Here is a 20,328-nt window from a genome sequence, read left to right on the forward strand (position 1 = left end):
CCACAGGGTTAGAGGAACAGAATGTGATTTTTAAAAACAAGCCAGAAGGGGAGACAAATAACTCTCCTGCAGTGGTTCTCAACGGTGTCTGTACATTGAAGTCATCTGTGCAGCCAGCCCCTCGAGATTCTCATGAAGGTTTGGCACAGAGCCCAGCATCTGCAGGTGAAGCACACCCACTGAAGCACAGCCAGGGCTAGAGCATCTGGCAGAGAGAGAGTGAGCACAGGCACTGGCTTTCGGCACCACAGATGTGACTGTCTCCTGCCACTTCTGAATCACTTTGTAGAAGCCACCTGAGCTGAGCCTCAGTGTTCTCATCACTAATATGGGGCACACCAGGGTTAATGGCAGTGTTTGCCAGCTGTCTCACACACATCATGTTGAGTAAACAGTAGCTAAGAGTACTGACAGGGTTATTTGTAACACTTTCTCCAAGACTGTTGGTGAACAGACTCTGGCCATCCCAATGAACTGAGACAGGCTCTCCCTGGCATGAACTAGCTGGTGACATGTTCTGCCTGGTCACTGATCCTGCCTTCCAGAGATACCTGAGCAGGCACACCCAGCACTTTTTACGGTCTGTTGCCTAGTGGTTTGCCTGGCCCTGCTTGGTGATCAAATGAGCAGTGGTGTCCAACCTTTGCAGTCAATAAAGCCCAAGGAAGCCAATTTTGCTAGGAAGGGCGCACGGAGATATGAGGGTGTCTAAGCCAGGGGAAGGCCAGACCGAGAGCCCCAGGAAGCATTATACCCTCTCCTCCCAAGCCTGGGAAACTGAAGACATGGCAGGTAGTAAAGGTGAATGCATTCACTGAGCTGTCCTGCCTCCCAGGGATGTGTGTCTTACTGGCAATCTTTCTTTTTGAACCCCTGGCAAAAATTATCCACTTGTGCAGTCAGGTGATGGAATTATAGCCAAAACTGACATAGTTTTCAAAGTCTTCTTTGAGACAAAAATCAAATTCTCCATAAGAGCTAAAGTTACAGTCAAAGTTGATTTTTTTAAATTAGCCAACGTGGTGGTACACGCCTGTAATCCCAGCTACTTGGGAGGCTGAGGCACAAGAATTGCCTGAACCCAGGAAGCAGAGATTGCAGTGAGCTGAGATCGCGCCATTGCACTCCAGCTTGGGGCAAAAGAGTAAGACTCTGTCTCAAAAAAAAGTTGACTTTTTTTCACAAGTACAATGGCCGTGCTGGAGCTTCAGATCTAGGGAGAAAGATTCTCCTTGCCATGGACCCACCATCCAAATCAGAACCCTGGCTTGTTCAGAGGCCACTAAGAACAAGCACCAGTCCCAACCTCATGTCTTCCACAGGAAAGGGGAGAGAATGTATAAGGACTTGGAGTCACACTATTTTCCTATTAATACAATGCACATGAAAGCGCAGAAGGGATCTAAGCTCCTAAACACCCTGGCCCTGTGCACAGGCACTTCTGGGCCAAGGATGGAAGAGAAAGAGAAAGAAAAATGGGACACTGTTCTTCCCTGCTCCGGGGTTCCCTCTGCTCTGGACACTACAGGTCAGTGGGTCTCAAATTCTTTTTTTTTCTTAAGTTTTTTTTTTTTTTTTTTGAGACAGAATCTCGCTCTCTCACCCAGGCTGGAGTGCAGTGGCACGATCTCTGCTTACTGCAACCTCTGCCACCCAGGCTCAAGCGATTCTAATGCCTCAGCTTCTAGGAGTAGCTGGAACTATAGGTATACGTCATTACACCCGGCTAAATTTTTGTGTATTTTTTGTAGCGGCGGGGTTTTACCACGCTGGCCAGGCTGGTATCAAACTCCTGCCTCAACCTCCAAAAGTGCTGGGATTACAGGTGTGAGCCACCTGTAATTTTTTTTTTTTTTTTTTGGAGATAGAGTCTCACTGTTGCCCAGGCTAGAGCAGTGATGCAATCACGATTCACTGCAGCCTTGACCTCCCAGGCTCAAGTGATCCTTCTATTTCAGCCTCCAGTCAAACTCTTCTTCACCAGAATCACCCAGGGCCTTTAGAAAATACCCTGACCAACTGAATTAGAATCTCTAGAGGTGGAGTCCAGAAATCAGTATTTTAAAAATAAGTTCCCAGTGATTTTAAGCAGTTGATCGAAGCACAAGAGCTACAGTTGATATACGAAGGAGGGAGAAATCCAAGAGACAGAAAGGCACCCCCGATCAGTGCTGTGCACAACTCGTAAGTGTGCATGTGTAAGTCCATGAATGTGGGAGGGGTCTTCAGCTTCACTCAGCAACTGGAGCCTTCTCCAAGACACTAGATGCTGCTGCAATTCCTCCCCCTAACCTCCCTTTGAAAGTTTCACCTTTCCTCTAATCCACGAAGTCACCCACTTCATATGTTTTGTCCTTCCTGGTAAAAGGGTGAGCAATTCCAGCTGATGAGTGTCTCGTGTACTTCCTGTTTGCTTTAGAGACTTCCTCTAGCTGAGAGTCCTGGCACAGCCTGGAGAGCAAGCTGATTAGGGAAACCAATCAGACTGTTGACCAGGGCAGGCGGGGCGTAGAGACTAGCTCACTCAAGGTTAGCCAGGTGGCCTGAGAACCAAGTGACCCCGCCCAGGGTCCCCTGCAGGTGCTTCTGACCAGTGACTCTTCAGCTACATTTTACCCCGGAAAAGGGCATTCCTGAATATTTAAACAAGAGTCCAGCAAAACAAAACAAAATCAAACCAAAAAAACAACAGCAGAAAGGAGTTGTTAAAGAAAATGGAGCAAGAGACACAGGAGGAAGTAACTCGGTTCAAAGGCTAAAGTGGAAGACATTTGATTTAAAAGCCAACTGGAGTCAAGGTTTTGCAAATGCTTCCCAGGCTCCGATTAGTTGGGGAGATGATTTACCCATAGGCTCAAGAACACAGCTCTTCCTCAAAAGGGAAAACCACTGCCAGCACACAGAAACAGAGGACAGACTCACAGCAGGACTATCCAGGCTTCTAGCTGGTTGCAGACCCAGAGGAAAGAAGAATCTGAAGCAACGCCAGCCACGATCCACACGAGGTACCCACAACCTTCCCCAGCGTGGCTAGCAGGTTAGGACTTGGGAGGCTGAGCCGGGTTTGGTTCAAGCTCCACTCCACCGTTTATTAGCCGTGTGACCTTGGCCAAGTCACACAAGTGATCATTATCAGCTTCAGTTCCTTATCTAAAAATTGGTATTCTTTAATACTAATTGCATGGGGTAGTTCAGATCAAGTGAAACAATGCACCACAGTATCAGGCTGAAGGTGAGCTTTCAACAAGTGGCAGGTTTATTACCCCAGAGGCTAGAATTGGTAGTCAGAGCCCAAAAGGGCCTTAAAGACCCCATCCTACTGTTGACAATTAAAGAAAAAAAATGAAGGTGAGGAGAAGTGACCTGCCTAGGGTCACACAGCCAGCTAGCTGGTGGCAGAGCCCAAGCCTGCCCAAGACTCATAACTCAAGCAAGGCTCTCCTATTAGAGATAGAAAGAAAAACCCCAGAATATTAACAATCTCATTACCATAACCCCTGTTACTAAAAATAACAGGGACTGCGACCTTCTATGCATGTTTTTAAAAAATGTAGCTTTTAGCTAGGAAAAAATGAGTTTCTATCAAACTGAAAAAAGCACATTGCCGCCGGGTGAGGTGGCTCATGCCTGTAATCCCAGCACTTTGGGAGGCTGAGGTGGGTGGATCACCTGAGGTCAGGAGTTGGAGACCAGCCTGTCCAACCTGGTGAAACCCCGACTGTACTAAAAATACAAAAATTAGCTGGGTGTGGTGGCTGGCACCTGTAATCCCAGCTACTTGGGAGGCTGAGGCAGGAGAATCACTTGAACCCAGGAGACAGAGGTTGTGGTGAGCGAAGATCGCACCATTGCACTCCAGCCTGGACAACAGAGCGAGACACTGTCTCAAAAAAAAGAAAAAAAAAAAAAAGCACACTGCTGGATGGAGGAGTTATAACTTGATTTGAGAGGTAAATACATGAGTGTATAATAATATAAAAACCCATCGAGCTGTATTTACAATTTGTAAACTATTATACATAAGTCACATGTCAATAAAAAGGTTAAAAAATGCTGCTGGTATAGAATTTTGCATATAATCATGAAAAGTTAAAGCTTGGAAACGATATGAATGCAATCTAGCTCCTCTGTATATAAAATATTTTCTGCCTCTTTAGTATGAAGAAAATAATATTAAAGACAATCAAGGGCCGGGCACGGTGGCTCACGCCTATAATCCCAGCGCTTTGGGAGGCTGAGGCGGGTGGATCATGAGGTCAAGAGATCGACACCATCCCGGCCAACATGGTGAAACCCCGTCTCTACTAAAAATACAAAAATTAGCTGGGCGTGGTGGCGCATACCTGTAGTCCCAGCTACTCGGGAGGCTGAGGCAGGAGAATCGCTTGAACCCGGGAGGCAGAGGTTGCACTGAGCTGAGATAGTGCCACTGCACTCCGGCCTGGCGAGAGAGCGAGACTCTGTCTCAAAAAAAAAAAAGACAATCAAAAAGATGATACCTGAATTGGAAAAGACCAACGGAGAACAAAGATACCCAAATGTTAAACACAAATAAGGTGCAAGACAATGGGATTCCTCATAAAAAATAAGATTCCCACATATATATTAAGGATATATTTACTGTTTGGGCTTAACTGTGGGCTAAAGGATTTTCAAGTGGTTTAAAGCTTCACAATAATAAAGAGAAACTGATATTTATGTCTTTTCGATGGGGAGAAAGAGGTTATAACAGTATGATATTCTCCACTCCCCAACCAGTCTAGAGTATATCTGCAGAGGAAAGGGGGGTTTAGGGGTTGGGGGATGGAATCAAAGAGAAGGGTGTCCTCTGTGTGACCAGGCCTATGGAACTGCTTCACACAGGGCCTGTGTCTTACCTAAGAGTCTAACAGGGGAAGCTTGGCCCTGGCCCTGGAAGCCAGAAGCTTAAGAGCCCAGGGTGAGATCTAGCCGAATCCCAATGGGGGGTGTTGCAACAGGGTGGGCTCCACCTCCCACCTTCAGGAGGTCCAGCTCTTAAACCTAGACTTGGGGGAGGCAGCAGTAGGGAGGAAGGTGCTGCCTTTCCACAGCCACAGGAAGATGACCCTTTTTCCAGCGGAAAGGGAAGTAAATTATCCCAGAGGGGCACTGAAGGTGAGCTGGGTCCCCTTCCACAGGGAAAGCACCCCCACCTTCCTTAACTGAGATTGGTTTCATTTCATTCTTTTTTCAATAAGATTTCTGAGGCTTAGTGCCTAGACTTCCACACCACAATCAGGCCCTGATGGGGTCCACCAGAGCCCCAAGTGCAGACACCAACTCCACCAATACCTGCAAAAGGGGCCAGTGTGCAGAGGCATCAAGAGGCTTAAAGCCTGGATACACATTACCAAGTGATCTTTAATAAACACTATGCAGACTGAGCCTGGAACTTTGCTGAAGTCAGCCAGGACAGAGCACAGCTGGCTCCTGCAGCCCTTTCCCTTGTGTGGGAAGTCTTGTATCACTTAGGACAGATGCCAAGCTCACTCGGGTGGAAGACACCCCTGAGGGACAGACCCTTAGCTTTCCAGGACTCTACCCCAGCAGAACACCATGAAATCCTTCCCTGATCCCTGAGCTTCTTCCCAGCTCTCAATGACAGATGGGTTCTCTGGAGAGGCTCAGAGAGGAGCAGTCAGGGCTGGATGGAAACCTCCAGCATCCACTCCCTCTTTCTGCACCCACAGGGAGGAAGACTATTGGGGTGGGAGGACATCTCCATGGATCTGCTAGCACAGCTTGGCCAGTGTGGTCGGCCAGTGCTGTCCACAGAAGGGCCCCAGGCTTCATGGGCAGCTCAACAACTCTCAGTCATTGGCCCTGCTGGCCAACAGAGGAGACAGGTAGCACGGAAGGCCCACAGACAGGGCACTGCCTGCAGCTGCACCAGGCAAGGCTCTCCGCCAGCCTACCGATTCCAAAAGGCACCAGGGGGGCCAGGCCCTAACGCTGACATTCCTGAGACTGTTCTCCCTAAGAGGGCCCAGTGTCTAACAGCACACCTCAGTCAGCAAGGTTGTGGCAGATTCTTTTTTTTTGAGACGGAATCTTGCTCTGTCACCCAGGTTGGAGTGCAGTGGCGTGATCTCGGCTCACTGCAACCTCCAGCTCCCAGGTTCAAGCAATTCTGCCTCAGCCTCCTGAGTAGCTAGGACTACATACGCGTGCCACCACATCCAGCTAATTTTTTGTATTTTTTAGTAGAGATGGGGTTTCACCATGTTAGTCAGGATGGTCTCGATTTCCTGACCTTGTGATCCAGGCTGTGCCAGATTCTCTACTCCTGTCTAGGGCTGCTCTCTCAAGCCTCAAGCAAAAGCTCAACTTGGAATCTTTCTGCAGCCCAGAACCACACACACGTCCCAGCCACAGGGCTTGTTAGGGATGACAACATGGCTGTATGGTGGCTCACACGCCACCAGTCAGTTCTTCACCTGCCAATGCCAGGCAGGATGCTAGGAAGAGTGCCATCCAAGGCAAAGGTTCTTCTGGCCCCAGCCTACCCCAACTATCCTGTATTTCATTTGTTCAGGCAGTTACTATTTAGCTAGGACATTTCTCACCGGAATCTCATCAATGTAGGGCCCGTCTTCCCCCCGTCTCAAAAGGGGCTCTGCAGGGGTCAGAAGCACCAGCCAGGACAGCTGCCACTTCTGCTGCTTCCCTAGGCCCAGAAAGACTCCAGAAACCTCTGCTGAAAGTCAGGATCAGAAGCAGCACCTGTTCATCCAGCCACTCACACCAGCGGACACCTCTCCAAAACCCTTCCCGCCCTTACAAATAACAGAAAACAAAAGAAAGCCAGTTTAAATCACTGCCCCTTTGTTTTGCCTTCAGCTCCTAAACAGAGAGCAGAGGTCAAGTTTGAGAGGAAAGTGGGAGAAAAGAGAAATAGCAATCCAAATGCCTCCTGTTCAGACACCACACACACCGTGGTCAGCGGCTATGCAACCAACAAGAAAAAAGTCAAAGTTCTCAGTGGGAGACCTGAGGGACGATGGCTATTCTCAGAAGCCTGGGCACCAAAGAACAATATTTTAGAATATATATATATATATATATATATATATATATTTTTTTTTTTTTTTTTTTTTTTTTTGAGATGGAGTCTCGCTCTGTCGCCCAGGCTGGAGTGCAGTGGCACAATCTGGGCTCACTACCACCTCCACCTCCTGGGTTCAAGCGATTCTCGTGCTTCAGCCTCCTGAGTAGCTGGGATTCCAGGTGTGCACCACCATACCCAGCTTGTATTTTTGTATTTTTAGTAGAGATGAGGTTTCGCCATGTTGGCCAGGCTGGTCTCGAACTCCTAACCTCAGGTGATCCGCCTGCCTCAGCCTCCCAAAGTGTTGGGATTACAGGCATGAGCCACCACACCCAGCTCTTTTTTCTATATACATTTTTGAGACAGGGTCTTGCTCTGCTGCCCAGGTTGGATTGCAGTGACGCAATCATAGCTTACCGCTACCTTGACTTCCTGGGCTCAAGCAATCCTCCTACCTCAGCCTCCCAAGTAGCTGGGACTACGGGCGCATGCCACCATGCCCAGCTAATTTTTCTATTTTTTGTAGAGATGGGGTTTCACCATGTTGCCCAGGCTGATCTCAGACTCCTGGGCTCAAGTGATCCACCTGCTTCAGCCTCCCAAAGTGCTGCGATTACAGGCATGAGCCACTGTGTCTGCCATCTTTCTTAATTTTTGCTGAACAAACTGTAGAGTGGTGCCCAGTGAAGAAATCAAGCAATGAATAGGTCTAAACAAGATTCAATGAGCGAATCACACTTCTGCTTCCATGGCCCCAAATGTTCATAAGACTAGTGTAGGTGGCAAGGGGCTGGAGAACTTGGGGGACTGAGGGTTGTGAGAGAGAAAGCAAGAGAAATTAAAGGCACTGTTGCAGATGAAAACAACCACATTACAAAATTCTCAAAGGCTGGACAATGGGTTTCCTTTGTGTTAACAGCACATAACAGCAAGCCTGACCCATAGTAGGTGAGCACAGATACGGTGAACTGTGCATGTGAGAGGTACCGCCCGCTTACACTTGGCAAGTGAACGGGGGAAGTTGAGGGCTTAAATCTGCATTCATCTGCCAGACGGCTCGGGTCCCCTAACAGAGCCACAGAGCAGCTGAGGAGCTGCCTCACTTCCCCAGGGAGGACTTCCTCCATCCCTACTGCACAGAGCTTAAGAGCACAAGTGCTGGAGTCAGACAACTTGAACTTCAGTTCAAGTTCTGGAGGCACCACTTACTAGGGTGGCCTGGTGTTGTCACTGAACCCATTTCCTCACACGTAAAATGGAGAGACCAGTACCACCCGTCTCCAGGACTGCCAGGAAGATGATGCATGTGAGACTCTCAGCAAAGGGCCTGGCATCGGGAAGCATTCAGTACATGTTCTGTAGCAGGGGAGCCCCTGCGCCTTCACTTCCCTGTGAAGGAGCCGGACTCCTCACTTCATCTGTCAGACAACATTCACACATTCCTCTTACCTCCAGTTTCCCGGGACTCCATTCTTCAGCACCTCTCATTTGGAGAGAATGCTGAAGAGGACGTCTTTCCTCAGTTTCCTAGAAGATACTCAGTGTCCTGTCAACAACCCCAATCTTGTATCCTCCAGAGACTAGCTCCCAAAACCACAAAAATGGAGGGGAGAAACCATTACCATCCAATAAATCTGCATGGGGTGAAGGCCCCAACCATGCAAACCATAACCTCTTAAAAAAAAAAAAAAAGCCCCATTAACACAAAGCATCTTGGGTTTTTTTTTGGTAGAGATGGGGTTTCATCATGTTGCCCAGGCTGATCTCAAACTCCTGCGCTCAAGCAATCCCCCCGCCTTGGCCTCCCAAAGTACTGAGATTACAGGCATGAGCCACCGCGCCCAGCCCACAAAGCATCTTAAAGCCCAAATGCCCTTCCTTCCATCTCAAAGCCTCTTTCAGGAAAGGGAAGAAGCAGTTCAGTTGTTGAGAGGGCTAGGGGACAGGAATAGAGCAGCTGACAAAGAAAGCAGAGTTCCTTTTAAAAACCAGGCTGCAAATGCTAGAGGTTTGGAAACTGGCGTCATTCATCACCACGCTGTCTGAGCAGCTCAGAGAGCAATCTGATGTCTAGGAGAGCAGCCAGGGTTAGAGAGGCCACCCACGCCCTCCTCCATGCCTGGGATGCCTCTGACAGCCACCTGAAGGGGACATACATGGAGCTATGAATAGAAGGCAAAAGGCTTGTAAACCAACTCCTGTTAAGATCCCAAGTTAGTGTTTCCAGCAGGGCTCAAGTTACACATTTTCAGAGAGATGACAGTACAATGGAAGGATTTCAGCTATTCAATGATTCAGGATCACGGCACAAAGTGACAGCCTACCCTGAGCCCGCCAACAGCCACAAACCGTCCCATGGGGGCAGTCCATTTTGGAAGGGCAGCAAAAGACACTGACTGGCCCGGACCATGTGGAATCTCTTACAAGACCCAGAGTCCAGGAAGGTTTAGCTGGAGAACTTAGCACCTGAAATAGAGAACGATTATATACACATGCCTCATCTTCCCACACCTCCATAGGTAAATTCCAAAGGAAAGACCAAATCAGACCATTTTTTGGATCAGTCATAGCATCAGGCAGGGGTAAGAGCAGTATGAATGGGTGAGTAGAACAACAGCCAGCTACTGGGATTAACTCCCAGGACTGCAGTTGATTCTCAGGGGGTAGATTTCCCAGGTCCACCTCTACCTTTCCCAACTCCAGAGTCTCTAGTAACTATGACTAACCATCAAGAGAAGAAATAACTCAAGGCATCCACATCACTCTATGTCAACATACCTGAGAGAAAACATTTGCTAAAAAGGCAGTGGCCTTGGAGAGCCAGCTGAATCTACAACTCTGGCACGAAATACACAAAGTAAGCCTGGGGCCGGGAGTGGTGGCTCATGCCTGTAACCCTAGCACTTTGGAAGGCTGAGGCAAGTGGATCACTTGAGGTCAGGAGTTCAAAACCAGCCTGGCCAACATGGTGAAACCTCGTTGCTACTAAAAATACAAAAATTAGCCAGGCATGGTAGCGTGCACCTGTAATCCCAGCTACTCAGGAGGTTGAGGCACAAGAATTGCATGAATCTGGGAGGCAGAGGCTGCAGTGAGCTGAGATCGTGCAGCTGCACTCCAGCCTGGGGGACAGAGTGAGTCTGTCTCCAAAAATCTGGCAGTGCCAAAATGTAAAGAAGTAACCAAAAACCAAAAACAAAAATCCTCACAATGACTAGGCAGGTCAAAGGAGGCTAAAAGAGCAACCAATGGGCAAAGCTGAAACATTTTGGGCAATAAAACAAAGTAACATTGGATTATTTATTTATTTATTTTTGAGACAAAGTCTCACTCTGTTGCCCAGGCTGGGGTGCAGTGGCAGGATCTCTGCTCACTGCAACCACCACCTCCCTGCTTCAAACCATTCTCCTGCCTCAGCCACCAGAGTAGCTAGGATTACAAGCGTGCACCATCATACCCAGCTAACTTTTGTATTTTTAGTAGAGATAGGGTTTCACCATGTTGGCTAGGCTGGTCTCAAACTCTTGGCCTCAGGTGATCCGCCCATCTTGGCTTCCCCAAGTGCTGGGAATACAAACGCGAGCCACTGTGCCCGGCCTTATCGCTGGATTATAAACCAAAGTGTAAAATAAATATCCTGGAGTCCATACTGATATAAATAATTGAACAAATAAATGGGGGAGAATAGGCCAGGCGCAGTGGCTCACGCCTGTAATCCCAGCACTTTGGGAGGCCGAGGCAGGTGGATCACCTGAGGCCTGGAGCTTGAGACCAACCTGGCCAACATGGTGAAACCCCGTAGCTACTAATAATACAAAAATTAGCCGGGCATGGTGGCATGTGCCTGTAATCCCAGCTACTCGGGAGGCTCAGGCAGGAGAATCGCTTGAACCCCGGAGGTGGAGGTTGCAGTGAGCCAAGATCGCACCACTGCACTCCAGCCTGGGCAACAAGAGCAAAACTCATCTCCAAAAAATAAATAAATAAATAAAAATAAATGGGGGAAAATAGACAAGTCTCTCATATAGAAGAATTTAATAATTCAGCTGGGCGCGGTGGCTCACGCCTGTAACCCCAGCACCTTGGGAGGCCGAAACGGGTGGATCACGAGGTCAGGAACTTGAGACCATCCTGGCTAACATGGTGAAACCCCATCTCAGGGTGGGCGTGGTGGCTCACGCCTGTAATCCCAGCACTTTGGGAGGCTGAGGCGGGCGGATCACGAGGTCAGGAGATCGAGACCATCCTGCCTAACAAGGTGAAACCCTGTCTCTACTAAAAATACAAAAATTAGCTGGGCGTGGTGGCGGGCGCCTGTAGTCCCAGCTACGCAGGAGGCTGAGGCAGGAGAATGGCGTGAACCTGGGAGGCGGAGCTTGCAGTGAGCCGAGATTGCCCCACTGCATCCAGCCTGGGCGACAGAGCCAGACTCCGTCTCAAAAAAAAAAAAAAAAAAAAAAAAAAAAAAAAAAAAAAAAAAAAAAAAAAAAAAAGAAACCCCATCTCTACTAAAAAAAATACAAAAAAATTAGCCGGGTGTGGTGGCGCGCGCCTATAGGCCTGTAGTCCCAGCTACTCGGGAGACTGAGGCAGGAGAAAGGCGTGAACCCGGGAGGCGGAGCTTGCAGTGAGCCGAGATTGCGCCACTGCACTCCAGCCTGGGCGATGGAGTGAGACTCCATCTCAAAAAAAACAGAAAAAGAAAAAATAATTTAGTAACTCATGTAGCTACTCCGCCCTCAACAAGGGGAACATGAACATAAGTCCCTGTTCCTTAGGTGTGGGCTACACAGTGACTTTCTTCCAAAGGGTGCATGCAGCATGGAAAGGGGAAGGGGAGAACAACTTTACAGAGAAGCCTCACACACATCACCTCAGCCAAGTGATCATGGTTGACATCAGTCATGGAAAGGCTTGTGGATTGTATGTACCCTTGACATGATGTGATGAAAATAGCACTTTACCTCTCTGGTCCTCCTTCCCAAAACTTGGCACAGTCTACTTATGAAAAAAACACTGGACACAGCCAGGCGTGTTAGCTCACGCATGTAATCCCACCACTTTGGGAAGCTGAGGTGAGCAGATCGCTTGAGCTCAGGAGTTTGAGACCAGCCTGGACATCATGGTGAAACCTTGTCTCTACAAAAATTAGCCAGGCGTGGTGGTGCATTTCTGTAGTCCCAGCTACTTGGGAGGCTGAGGAGAATGGCTTGAGCCGAGATTGCACCACTGCACTCCAGCCTGGCTGACAGAGCAAGACTCTGTTAAAAAGAGAAAAATACTGGACAAATCCCAGTTGAGAAGAGATTCTCTTTATTTTTTATTATTTTTTTTGAGACGGAGTCTCATTCTGTCTCCAGCCCAGGCTGGAGCACAGTGACACGATGTTGGCTCACTGCAACCTCTGCCTCCTGGTTCAAGCGATTCTTGTGCCTCAGCCTCCTGAGTAGCTGAGATTACAGGTGCGTACCACCATGCCTGGCTAATTTTTGTATTTTTAATAGAGATGAGGCTTCACCATGTTAGCCAGGCTGGTCTCGAACTCCTGACTTCAAGTGATCCACCCACCTCGGCCTCCCAAAGTGCTGGGATTACAGGCGTGAGTCACCGCGCCTGGCCGAGATCCTCTTTAGATGCTTGCCCAGCACTCCTCAAAACTGTCAAGGTCATCAAAAACAATAAAAGTCTGAGAAACTGGCACAGCAAGAGGAGCCTAAAGAGACAATGAATATAGGTAACATGGGATCCTGGAACAGCAAAAGGACATCAGGTAAAAATCTAAGGAAATCTGAATAAAGGATGGACTTTAATGTAAAATACGTACTAACATAAGATGTTAATAACAGGGAAAACTATGTGTGAGGGATTGTGAGAAAACTCTGTACTATCTGCGTAACTTTTCTAAAAGTATTCTGAAAGAATAAGTTTATTAAGCCTCGGCAACATAGGGAGACCCCGTCTCTACAAAAAAATCAAAAATTGCCCAGGCACAGTGGCTCACACCTGTAATCCCAGCACTTTCAGAGGCCAAGGCAGGCAGACCACAAAGTCAAGAGATCAAGACCATCCTGGCCAACATGGCGAAACCCCGTCTCTACTAAAAATATAAAAATTAGCTGGGCATGGTGGCGTACGCCTGTAGTCCCAGCTACTCGGGAGGCTGAGGCAGGAGAATCACTTGAACCCAGGAGACGGAGGTTGCAGTGAGCCAAGATGGCATCACTGCACTCCAGCCTGGGAAACAGAGCAAGACTCCATTTCAAAAGAAAAAAAAAAAAGGAGGCCAAGGTAGGCGGATCACGAGGTCAGGAGATGGAGACCATCCTGGTTAACATGGTGAAACTCTGCCTCTACTAAAAGTACAAAAAATTAGCCAAGCGTGGTGGCAGGAGCCTGTAGTCCCAGCTACTCGAGAGGCTGAGGCAGGAGAATGGCATGAACCCGGGAGCTTGCAGTGAGCCGAGATCGTACCACTGCACTCCAGCCTGGGCGACAAGGCAAGACTTCGTCAAGAAAGAAAGAAAGAAAGACAGAAAGAAAGACAGAAAGACAGAAAGAAAGACAGAAAAAGAAAGAAAGAAAGAAAAAGAAAGAAAGAAAGAAAGAAAGAAGGAAAGACAGAAAGAAAGAAAGAAACAGAAAGAAAGAAAGAAAGAAAGAGAGAGAGAGAGAGAGAGAGAGAGAAAGAAAGAAAGACCAGCCTCAAGGTGAGCAGAGGATATCCAAGTACTGCAGGCACAGGACCAGGGAATGTTAAAGACCCCATCTGTGGAATACACATGTGAGGGCTGCTCATACCACTGGTCTGAACAGCTGCTGCCACCACTTTTTTAAGCCACCTTCACTCAGGAACGAGCCTTGTGCAGACATACAGAACAGTATCCACAGGCAGAGTCAAATTTGCTTCCACTGATCCTTGCTAAGTACTGGTCTGGGGTCGGTGCTGCCTCACCACACACAACTGCAGAAGCACGGTCGTTCTGTCCTGCCATCAGATACACACACGGCAGAAGCCAGTCAGCCGGACTGTGGCTAGTCAGGGCCGCGCCCTCATTGTCCCATTAAACCCTTCACCAGAAATGGAGATTTGGAGAGTCTTAACTTCTGGAAACTGAGTTTGTGACTTGCTTCCCATCATCCGTACTGTAACATTGATCCTATTGACCTGTTTGCTCTCCCATTTGTCTGTGAGCAACTTTCTGGGGGATGGACCAAAGATATGGCTCAAGCTGTGGGATCAGATGGATTTAAGTTTGAATCATAGGTTCACGACATCCAAAGTGTGTGAAGAAAGGAAGGGAAGTGTGTGTTAAAAGAAGTGGGCGAGGGCCAGGCATGGTGGCTTACACCTGTAATCCCAGCACTTTGGGAGGCCGAGGCGGGTGGATCACCTGAGGTTGGGAGTTCGAGACCAGCCTGACCAACATGGAGAAACCCCATCTCTAATAAAAATACAAAAAATTAGCCGGCCGTGGTGGCACATGCCTGTAATCCCTGCTACTTGGGAAGCTGAGGCAGGAGAATCTCTTTAACTCGGGAGGCGGAGGTTGTGGTGAGCTGAGATTGTGCCATTGCACTCTAGCCTGGGCAACAAGAGCAAAACTCTGTCTCAAAAACAAACAAAAAAAAAGAAGTGGGCAAGGCTGGGCACAGTGGCTCATGCCTGTAGTCCCAGCACTGGGAGGCTGAGGCAGGCAGATCATGAGGTCAGGAGTTTGAGATCAGCCTGGCCAACATGGTGAAATCCGTCTCTACTAAAAATACAAAACTAGATGGGCGTGGTGGTACACACCTGTAATCCCAGGTACTAGGGAGGCTGAAGCAGGAGAATCACTTGAACCCAGGAGGCGGAGGTTACAGTGAGCAAGATCGTACCATTGCACTCCAGCCTGGGTGAGAGGTCAAGACTCCATCTCAAAAAAAAAAAAAAAAAAAAAAAGAAGTGGGCAGGTGTTTGGTGTTTGCTTTAAGGGCAGGTTTGAATGTCTGCCCTCTCCTTTAACAACTTCAGTAGGGAGCCTACTATGCTGAGTGCCATGCCAGGTCCTAAACACACAAAGATCAAACAGGACCCGATCTGTGCCCCTAAAGGGCTCACCCACCAGAGAATGAGGCAAATAAGGAACAATGAGATAGCAGTTGAGAAGACAGCCCATGTAGGAGACAAGCCCTCAGCCCATTTGGGGCAAGGGAAGGCTTCACAGAGGAAGTGGCATTCAAACTGAGCTTTGAGAGAAAAGTAGGGAGATACAGTTTCCAGGCACGTGAGGTGCAGAAGAGCCTTCTAGGCAAAGTGAACAGTAGGCATTTAGCCCAGAGATGGGTCAAGGAGAGGCTGTATTGAATAGCGATAAGAGCACACCCCATCTCTGCCATTACTACATAGTCCCCCACTCTAACATGGGGATTAAACACAGAACCTACCTCCTGGGGTTGTCGGAGGATTAAAGGAGTCAACACATAGGGCTCACAAGAGTGCCTGGCACATGGCAAAAATAGAAGTTTAGCTTTTATTTGTATTACTGTTCTTATACATAGAGGATGGGGCTATTTAATTGGAAAAGTAATCTCTTACAATACCAAGCTATTAATGCAGAGGATGCCAAAAATATTCCGATTCTCCTCTGCCAAGGTTTTTGCAAGCATGATTACCTGGATTTTGGCACATCCTAGTTTATAAATTCTACCTAAAGCAGTGCTTCTCAAACAGCCCCAACATATGTACCCTTCACTCAAGTCAGGGGAGAGGAAACTCCCAGAAATCTGGGAGTTGAACCCAAAGCAGCTGGCTACAAGCAAAATACTGTCTTTGGCCAGGTGCAGCGGCTCATGCCTGTAATCCCAGCACTTCGGGAGGCCAAAGTAGGAGGATCACTTGAGCCCAGGAGTTCTGAGACCAGCCTGGGCAACATGGCAAAACCCTGTCTCTACTAAAAATACAAAAACTAGCCGGGCATGGTGGTACATGCCTACAGTCCCAGCTACTCAGGAGGCTGAGGTGGGAGGATCACTTGGGTCCACAAGATCAAGGCGGAAGTAAGCCATGATCGTCCCACTGCACTCCAGCCTGGGTGAGAGAGGCCCTGTCTCAAAAATAAATAAATTAATTAATTAATTAAAGTTTCCTGTGTTAGCTTCAATTCATGCAAACTTTGCATTCTAATCTATAATAGTTACAGGACTGTTTTAATATTAAAACGCTTACAACTAAGTAAAACTGAAGTGGCACAGCGTTCTCTTCTGTAAAATGGGAATACAACCCACATCAATTCTGTTCAATGTCTACAAAATGAGACAATTTGTGAAACCATCAAGCAATGTACAAGGCATCCCAGCAGACATTTTGTTTTTGTTTTAGACATGGGGTCTCATTATGTTGCCCAGGCTGGTTTTTTTTTTTTTTTTTTTTGAGATAGACTCTTGGTCTGTTGCCCAGGCTGGAGTGCAGTGGTGCAATCTCGGCTCACTGCAACGTCCACCTCCCAGGTTGAACTGCCTCCCAGGTTCCTGCCTAAGCCTCCCAAGTAGCTGGGATTACAGGCATGTGCCACCACGCCTGACTAATTTTGGTATTTTTAGTAGAGATGGGGTTTCACCATGTTGGCCAGGCTGGTCTCGAACTCCTGACTTCAGGTGATCTCCCAGCCTCAGCCTTCCAAAGTGCTAGGATTATAGGCGTGATCCACCACACCTGGCCCCCAAGCTGGTCTTGAACTCCTGGGATCAAGCGATCCTCCCAAAGTGCTAGGATTATAGGCATGAGCCACTGTGCCCAGCCCCAGCATACATTTGGTACACATGTTGAATCAGAATCAGTGTTGAGGCTGGGCACAATTACCTGAGGTCAGGAGATCGAGACCAGCCTGGCCAACATAGAGGAACCCTGTCTCTACTAAAAGTACAAAAATTAGCTGGGCATGGTGGCACACGCCTATAATCCCAGCTACTCAGGAGGCTGAGGCAGGAGAATAGCTTGAGCCCGGGAGACAGAGGTTGCAGTGAGCCAAGATCACGCCATTGCACTCCAGCCTGGGAGACAAGAGTGAAACTCCATCTCAAAAAAAAAAAAAAAAAAAAAAAAAAAAATCAGCCAGACACGGTGGCTCATGCTTGTAATCCCAGCACTCTGGGAGGCCGATGAGGCGGGCAGATCACCTCACCTGAGGTCAGGAGTTTGAGACCAGCCTGGCCAACATGGTCAAACCCCATCTCTACAAAAATACCAAAAAAAAAAATTAGCCGGGCATGATGGCAGGTGCCTGTAATCCCAGCTACTCAGGAGGCTGAGGCAGGAGAATCGCTTGAACACAGGAGGCGGAGGTTGCAGTGAGCCTGGGCAACAGAATGAGAATGAGACTGCCTCAAAAAAAAAAAGAACCTTCAAACCCCTACCTACCCATCAGAGGCAACTGCTATTTTGTGGGCATCCAGTCTGCCAGCACTGGACTAGCTCCTTTCTTTGTTTCTAATTCTGCAAGGTATTTAGCATCCCCATTTTACCAGAAGAAACACAGGCTCAGTGAGGTCAAGTAACAAGCCCAGGGTCACACAACTGGTAAGTGGGGGAATCAGGATGAGAACTCAGGTCCAACTGCCTCTGAAGTTCTAGTGCCTTCCACCCGACCACACTGCCTGTTTACTGGGCAAGGGTTAGAAGTAGAAGGTCTGGCCAGGCGCAGTGGCTCACGCCTGTAATCCCAGCACTTTGGGAGGCCAGGGTGGGCGGATCACGAGGTCAGGAGATCGAGACCATCCTGGCTAACACGGCGGAACCCCATCTCTACTAAAAATACAAAACAATTAGCCGGACGTGGTGGTGGGCACCTGTAGTCCCAACTACTCTGGAGGCTGAGGTAGGAGAATGGCATGAACCCGGGAGGCGGAGCTTGCAGTGAGCCAAGATCGCACCACTGCACTCCAGCCTAGGCGACAGAGCGAGACTCCGACTCAAAAAAAAAAAAAGAAGTAGAAGGTCTAAGAAGTACTTGCTTGGTGGGGCTGAATTTAAATGTATGATCTTGCTCTGTTTCCATGTAAATTCTAGTGACAGGAGCTCCTGGTGGCAAGCCACATTCTTCCCACTTGCAAGCAGCAGGCAGCACCACAGGAGAAACAGAGGACTAACCAGAGGCCCGCTCTGTTGCTTCCCCCTTAACCCTGCCCAGTGGGACCCCTGAGTTTACTCACTTTAACTTTCATTTTCTAGCCATTAGGACTTTCAGGTTCCCAGAAAAATTAATGACATGTAGATGTCAGCAAACTCTCAGGCCCTGAAGAGTACTGACTTGGGACTCCTAACTGTTTTGGTCCTCAGAGGCAGAGGTGAAAGGGGTCAAGAGAGAAGACAGGAGGTCGGGTAGACGCTGGGGAAGACAAAAAAACAGAGGAGCGCTAGTGATGAGGAGGGCTAAAGAGTTAAGAGTCTGCCCTTGTGCCGTGGCGCACTCAGTCTGCATGTTCATTCATTTAACGAACAAACCAGGCCGAAGAAGGGCCCACTGTTAGATCAGGTCACATCTGACCCCAAATCCAAGCCCCAGCTCTACTACTTTCTAAATGTATGATCGATCTTAGGCAAACTACTTAAGTTCCTTCTGCATCCCTTCTAAAGCAGGGACACTTGCCTTATCTTACTCAAAAAAAAAAAAGTAATAATAAAAATTAAAAACAAAGTGGGGAAACAAGCCCCACTATTTCCCAAGGCACCTATGAGGAATATGTATGAAAATAATTTTGCAACCTTAAAATGATTTTTAAAAATTAGTGTTACTGTCCCTCTACAGTTTAACAGCCCTCTAATTGTGAGAGGCAAGAGGGCAGGGGAGGAACAGCATCAGAAAGGAGGGGTTCTGTCGCACACGGAGCCATCGCTCTCTCTGCCAGGCAGAGTCAGACCTCTGCTTGGACTCTATAATTTCTAGGTGCCAGAAGTGGCTGCATAACGACCCAAAGCACTGGGGCCTGCCTCGTCTCTCTAAATGGCAGAGCTTCCCCTTCAAAGTCGTTTCAGGTTGGGTGCAGTGGCTCATGCCTGTAATCCTAGCACTTTGGGAGGCTGAGGTGGGTGGATCATCTGAGGTCAGGAGTTCGAGACCAGCCTGGCCAACATGGTGAGACCCCATCTCTACTAAAAATACAAAAATTAGCTGGGCGTGGTGGTGCATGGCTGTAATCTCAGCTACTCAGGAGGCTGAGGCAGGAGAATCCCTTGATCTCGGGAGGCAGAGGCTGCAGTGAGCCAAGATTGTGCCACTGCACTCCAGCCTGGGTGACAAAACAAGGCTCTGTCTCCAAAAAAAAAAAAAAAGTCGTTTCAGAGTCAGAGCTGGGAGAGCATGTCCAGACAAAGAAAAGAAGGTCTCCTCAGAAGGCTGGTCGGCCTCATCCCAGCACTCCTGAAGAGTGACAAACTGCGGTCTACTCCTGAAGACCTAAGTCTGGTCAGAGACCAATGGCCAGTGAGCAGTCAGGCCTCTCTGGCCCTGCCCCTCAGATGCCCAGGCTGACCAGATCAGAGAAACTAGGTTGGTTGAAGAAGTCTCCAATGAACCCCAAAGGAACCCACACAGATACAGAGCCTGTGATCCAGCTGTTGACCCTAATAAGGAAGGCTTCTTCTGTTGTCCGATAAAAAGTGAAATAAGTAGGCCGGGCACGGTGGTTCACACCTGTAATCTCAGCACTTTGGGAGGCTGAGGCGGGTGGATCACCTGAAGTCAGGAGTTCGAGACCAGCCCGGCCAACATGGCGAAACCCCATCTCTACTAAAAATACAAAAATTAGCCGGGTGTGGTGGCAGGCGCCTGTTAATCCCAGCTACTCAGGAGGCTGAGGCAAGAGAACTGCTTGAACCCAGGAGGCAGAGGTTGCAGTGAGCCAAGATCACGCCACTGCACTCCAGCCTGGGCGACAGAGCAAGACTCCATCTCAAAAACAAACAAACAAAAAAGTGAAGAAAGTACATCCTAGCTCTACTCAAAAGACTGTAGGAATCAGATACTAGCCACTGTCCAGAAGCCCTCAAACACACCTCAAGGCCAAAAAACACAGCACTTTTAAGTGGCAAGCGAGGGTGGTAAAGGTAGCCCAGAACACTGAAGAGCTACAGAAGTTCCCACAAACTGCACGGCTTTCCGTCCCTTCCTCCACTGTAGATAGCAAGGGTCAGTCATGGCCTCAGAGCCAGGCTACTCCTCGTTAAGGTACAGTCTCCGGCCTGTACTTTGGCCACATAACAAAGCTTGGTCTGAGACAGCAGC

The 20,328-nt window shown here is 48.5% G+C and overlaps 1 protein-coding gene across 3 annotated transcripts in view, besides 1 other annotated feature; it reads right to left on the reverse strand.

Annotated features, from left to right (window-relative positions):
• Positions 1-20,328, reverse strand: part of RAB5C (RAB5C, member RAS oncogene family) — a 30,011-nt gene that overhangs the window by 8,440 nt on the left and 1,243 nt on the right. The window contains exon 2 of one of the 3 annotated variants that reach the window (NM_201434.3): positions 4,344-4,460. The exons of the other annotated variants lie outside the window; for them this stretch is intronic. The gene's annotated coding sequence lies outside the window, so the exon portion shown is untranslated. The remainder of the gene's footprint in view (positions 1-4,343; positions 4,461-20,328) is intronic. 3 annotated transcript variants of the gene reach the window in all.
• Positions 455-504: an enhancer, noted in NCBI's record as "active region_12188". NCBI's record gives its function as "activates an Ori minimal core promoter by ATAC-STARR-seq in GM12878 lymphoblastoid cells {active_cell/tissue: GM12878}" and the evidence as "EXISTENCE:reporter gene assay evidence [ECO:0000049][PMID:35858748]".

Source organism: Homo sapiens, chromosome 17 (assembly GCF_000001405.40).
Source record: "Homo sapiens chromosome 17, GRCh38.p14 Primary Assembly".
Classification (NCBI taxonomy): Eukaryota; Metazoa; Chordata; class Mammalia; order Primates; family Hominidae; genus Homo; species Homo sapiens.